The sequence below is a fragment of the Homo sapiens genome, chromosome 2 (assembly GCF_000001405.40).
Source record: "Homo sapiens chromosome 2, GRCh38.p14 Primary Assembly".
Taxonomy (NCBI): domain Eukaryota; kingdom Metazoa; phylum Chordata; class Mammalia; order Primates; family Hominidae; genus Homo; species Homo sapiens.
The window spans coordinates 185,214,607-185,220,606 of NC_000002.12; the positions used below are offsets into that span (position 1 = coordinate 185,214,607).

The 6,000-nt window shown below is 32.6% G+C and overlaps 1 long non-coding RNA gene across 3 annotated transcripts in view; it reads left to right on the plus strand.

Annotated features, from left to right (window-relative positions):
* The window catches only part of LOC105373781 (uncharacterized), a 53,658-nt gene extending 47,872 nt beyond the window's left edge, over positions 1-5,786 (plus strand). For all 3 annotated transcript variants that reach the window (XR_923661.1, XR_923663.1, XR_923662.1), the window contains 2 exons: positions 5,048-5,125; positions 5,447-5,786. This is a non-coding gene — a long non-coding RNA (uncharacterized LOC105373781). The remainder of the gene's footprint in view (positions 1-5,047; positions 5,126-5,446) is intronic.
* The last annotated feature ends 214 nt before the right edge of the window (positions 5,787-6,000 follow it).

The window sequence follows — 6,000 nt, forward strand, 5'->3', positions numbered from 1 at the left end:
TGATTGAGATTACCCTGCATCTATACAGCATTTAGAGGTTAATTGATATTTGGACATTTTTTTCCAACCCAAGAACACATATATCTACCCATAATTTTAGGTCTTATTTGGTTTTTCTTACCAAATGTTTTATGATTTTCAGTATAAAAATCTTACAAATATTTTGGTGTACTTATTCATACATATTTCAAATTTATTGGTATTTATATATGTTTCTTTCCAAAATTTCAATTCTCAACTATGTAGAAATGCAATTGGCTTTTAAATAATGACCTTTCATCCTGTGAATTTACTAAATATGCTTATTCTGTTGAGCAGCTCTTTTTTGGATTCCTTGAGACTTTCCACATAGAGAGGACATCTGTGAAAAGAGACTGTTTCTTTCCAACATATATTCATTTCATTTTACTCTCTTTCCTGATTTGTTAACTAGAATCTTCATTACAACTTTGAAAAGGAATGGTGAGATCAGACTTTTTTCTTGTTTATTATCTTACAGGGAACACATTCAATCTTTGAGCATTTAGTATGATGTTAGTCATAGGTTTTCATGAGGTCTTTATCAAGTTGAGAAAGTGATCTTTCATTTGTGAGAAATTTTTATAACATATTATAGTGAATGCTTATAATTTTACGTTGCCTTGACATCCATTTTTGATGAAAGTTTAGCTTTCTCATGCCAGAGGCAGAGTTCAATCACCCTTGACATAGTTTCTCATTCTACATCACACTCAAATGTCTCAAGCCACAGACCAGAGATAGAACTTAGAGGCGTCTCTCTGGCCTAGTCTCTCAGAATAGCCTCCCCTCTTTCCTACTGCTTCCCTTTAATAAACCATTCCGGCATATGCACATAAGTGACCCACACCCTATTTCCTTATGTTTACCACTTCTGGCAATAGTCTCTTCTCCCTCCCTGCCTCAGTTTCTTGACCTCCAGGTGTGCCATGTACTCCTCAGTGTCTGTGGGTACTAAAAACTCTTAAGCTTTCACATTTCGTTGTGTCCTTGAAGCTGTGCCTGCAGTCTGAACCCTGATGGCAAGGCCATCCAAAGAGATGCAGTGGATCCCCTGGTGCTGTGCTTTCGTTCAGGCCTCTAGTGGCTGTTTGGGACAATAGCTAACGAATTGATAATGAAACTTGAAGAGTTTCATTCAAAACAAACATAGACCCTGGACTTTGCCAAATGCATGCTGCATCTCTCAAGAGGATCTTGTGTTATGGTTATTTATTATTATTTTTAGGTTACATTACATTCATTGATTTTTGAATGCTGAACAAACCTCTTAAAATAAATTCTACTCTGACATGACATTTATTTGAGAGAGAGAGAGGGAATGATTATGATAATGATGATAATAATGATGCTGATGCTTTTTTCCATTTCCATGAAGAATATTACTCTAGTTTTTCTTTTCATGTAAAAAGAGTTTTGGTTTTGGTATCAGTGTAATGTATGCCTCATAAAACAAATTGGAATGTGCCTCTTATTTTCTAGAAACATTTTTGTAAATTTAGTATTATTTATTACTAATTTTTGTAAAATTTGTATTATTTATTTTGATAAATCTTTCCGATGAAAACATCTGGCCTGGGGCTTAGGTTGTTGAAAGATGTTTAACAATGAATTCAATATCTTCAGTAGTTTTAGTACTAATTAGAGAGAGAGAGAGAGAAAGAAAGAAAAGGTAAAGAAAGAAAGAAAGAAAGAAAGGAAGAAAAAGAAAAAGAAAAGGAAAGAAAGAAAAAGAAAGAAAGAAAGAAAGAAAGAAAGAAAGAAAGAAAGAAAGAAAGAAAGAAAGAAAGAAAGAAAAAGAAAAAGAAAGAGAGAGAAAAGAAAGAAAGAAAGAAAGAGAAAGAAGGCAGGCAGGCAGGCAGGCAGGCATTTCTATAAACTCTATTGGTTCTGTTTTTTTTTGAAGAACCCTGACAAATACATACACTGTCAGATGTACGTATTTGGGATTTTTTTTTGAGCCATTTACACTTTATACCTAAAGGCATATAATCAATTTTTGTCAGTAAGTCAGTAGAAATATAGCTTTATTCTGGCCGGGCGCGGTGGCTCATGCCTGTAATCCCAGCACTTTGGGAAGCCGCGAGACAGGCGGATCACGCGGTCAGCAGATCGAGACCATCCTGGCTAACACGGTGAAACCCCGTCTCCACTAAAAATGCAAAAAATTAGCCAGGCATGGTGGCGGGTGCCTGTAGTCCCAGCTACTCGGGAGTACTCGGGAGGCTGAGGCAGGAGAATGGCGTGAACCCGGGAGGCGGAGCTTGCAGTGAGCTGAGATGGCGCCACTGCACTCCAGCCTGAGCGACAGAGCGAGACTCCGTCTCAAAAAAAAAAAAAAAAAAAAAAAAAAAGAAATATAGCTTTATTCTGAGGCAAAAATTAGGTGTTTCTGCATTTGTTAATTGACTCACGTGAAATAATACTGATCATTTTGCCATGATGTATAAATAAATAGCAGTAGTTGAGGAAGTCAGGAGCCAAACTGACTGCATCATATTTCTAAAAGCAAGTGAAAGGTAGACTAAAATAGTGTCTCACTTTGCAATTGCTAATTGAGAAGAACATGTAAAATAATCCTAGAAATTATTTCTTAAAAAGTAAATTTTAAGTACGATGGATTTTAAACTTGCAGTAACCATCCATGAAAAAACAAAATTCAGATAGATGAAATAGCATTTAAAAAATATAAATGTTTTTGAAATTTGAAAATTCATGAAGGAAATATTGACCTACTTGAAATAAGTACTTTTGAATAGTTAAAATAAGAAAATAAAGACATTTTATTCATTTTATTGATATTAAAAGCAAGTTATAATAACATGTAGTTTGAATTCTAAAATAATGTATCAGTTACTCCTTCCCAAAACCACTGAGACCAGATCATTAAGATTTTGCTTTTTTAATGTAAAATAAAAATGATGTAATGACTCTGGAGATGCTAAATAATAGAAGCTTAGAGAGGGAATAGATAACTGGTCTGTCCTGAAATTACAAATTATATTAGTTCTGAGCCTTACATTTTTTCTCAAATATGCACCCTAATTTAGATAAATAATATCTTATAATTTGATATTGTATTTTTAATACAAATACTTAGGCCAATTATCACATTATGGCAGGAATTGAAAAATATTATTTAAAGAATTAGGTTTGACTTTTAACATATAAGTTGAAAACATAAAAAGATGGTTTCAATAAGTCTACAACTTTACTCATGATGTTTACTAGATATCATTCAGTTTACATTTAGATATTTCTACACATAAAACTATCCATTGTATTTTCTGACCTCTCATTAATATTAGAGTATCATCTTTTTGCAATGCTTGTCATGAATTTTTTGACGTTTTCTTTAGGAAAAGAAGAAGCATTTCTATATGAGTAAATTTTTTCAGTTAAAGTTGAATGAGTGTTTGTGCATACACAGAAACTTTTTCTAAAGTGTCTCTTAAAAGTAAGTATAAACTAAAAAGATTACTATAAATGCCTTAATGAACATTTCTGCAAAACTTGAATCGCAAATTTCTGATTCAAGCTCAGTATTTCTCTATTGTTCAGACAAATTTGGTAAATACTTCTTAATATATTTCTGAAGGTGCATCTATCAGCTAAAATCATTAAAATTATATTCATTTAATCTAGTTTAATGTAATTCATTAGAACAATATAACATTAATATAATAAGGAATAAACAATAAAATATGAATTAACAATTCCACTACAAAATAATAATCAACATTACTTATTTTTTATTAACATGCTTAACTATTATATAAAACGACTCCATCCAAATTTAGCAAAAATAAACTTTATTGCATAATCAGAAAGGGATTAGGCACAAACCAGGAACTAGAATGCAACTTGGTGTCAGGTAAGTGCAACAATGAGATTGGAAATAGATCTGGATTCACTTTCTCATCTCTTTTTCTTTTTGCTTTCAGCTTCTTGTTTTTGCTCATTTTTCTTGCTCCTACCATCATCCTCATTTCTCAGTCTGCATAGCAGGATATGGTCACTCAGAGCTACCTTACAGTTCATCCACATATAGAAATATAAGAGGCTCTGTTACACAGTTGAGAATTCCAAATAAAAAAAAAATCAGATTGGCGCAGTCTAGATAAGGTTTCCACAACAGCATGAATCAATTCCGTCACAACATCAGTTGCAGAGGTGTGAAATTTGTCAAATCATTTATACTTGACAGTCTTCTTTCTGATTGATAAAATGGGTATCGTAATACATCTCACACAATTGTTGAGAAGACCTAATGAGATTATGCTTGTAGATGATCTAGCACAGTGCTTGCCACAGAATAAGCACTATTAACCCTTATTATTAATTTCACTGTGTCAATTACTATTGTTTTTAAAACTCTACATCCTGAAATTAGACAATATAAATTCACATTCCTCCATTATAATTTATACTTGCTAAAAATCACAGCATGATCTCGGGAAAGTTATGCACAATATCTAGTCTTTCACATTTATATCTACCAGCTGAGGGCAATAATAGTATTTTTTCATTGGTTAATTTACTATTATTTCTCTGATTATACTTTCTTGTCTTTTTTCTGATTAAATAAGATTTTTTATACTCCACACCTTAAATGCAAAGAACCATGTACCTATATAGATTGTGAGGGTTTCTGGTATTGTCAATTCCTAACTAACCTGGATTTATGAGGGTAGCAAACAAGGCAAATGGTGATGACACTCATCACAAAGTACCATCTGAGAGGTGGAATGGACAGTTGCTGTTTCTCTCTGTAGCATGTTCTGATTTGTTGAGTCAAAGTGCACAACTGGAAAAGGAAAAACGAAATTAACTCTCTTTATTCAGCCTATCTTTCTCATGATGTGAGCCCATAATTTGTTAACCGTGGTTAAGCTTTTCTCAAGTCCAGTTATGACTGCTTTAAAATTACCGTGAATTTTGGCATAATACTTTCTGCCAGTCTTAATTTACAGTACTATGAGTCTTTTGTTTGTGTTTCATTTTGTTTTTTTCTGTTTTTTCACTTTAGAAAGAAGTTGGAAGAGGAAACATTAGGAATTTCCTTTCAAACTCCAATCAAAACAGCCCATTTGAATATTTTTTTAAAGTCAGTATTACTTCATTCATGGGTTAAAAATAGACCAATACTACTGATAACCAAAATTTTAAAACTGTACCTAAAAATAATTCTATCTTATTGTGAATATATTTGAAATTCAACTGGGCTTGCATTTCTGCCATCAAACATATAGCCCAAATGTCTTAGTACAACCAATTTTTTAAGTAATAATATTTAAAGAAAAAATGATCATCAGTATTAAATAAAAAAATGACTAACGTTTATGCGGAAAAAATGTTTTTTGTTCATGATAAAGGAAGATGAAAAAAATCACTATAGTTCGTGATCTAGGCTTATTTTTATTCATAGAAAATTCCAAAAATTCTTCCTGTGAGGATGCATTGGCTAAAGCAGGTCAAAGTTGCTGAAGAGGACTAAGCGAGCCTCTTGGGGAAGATGATATCATCTGATCTGTACACATGTCACATTCAGAACATTCTGCATGGCTGCTGCTGAGCTCCCATCTGTCAGATCTCAACAGAGAGAACAAAGACTAGAGATGTGAGTAATTCAAGAAACATCCATTTACTAGCTGAAAAAACAAATAAAATTAGGAGGAGCCACTTTCTTCTTGTTACATGTTACTGATACGTGTTCTACCTGGCCATACCACACATTACATAAAATGTATTCAACTACTTTACTGTCATTTGCTTAAATTGTCTTATTTTTAGAAACTTGTTCATAATAACTACAATCTCTATAAGCATAGTACAAAATAACTACAAGCATAATCAATACAATTGTATTTAGACAATAAGAGATATTTTTATTTGGTACAGATCTTGGGAAATGCGGTATTGGTCTTCTACACTGCTTCAAATACAGAATAGGCTTTTCTTAATACATGAGTTAAATTTAAT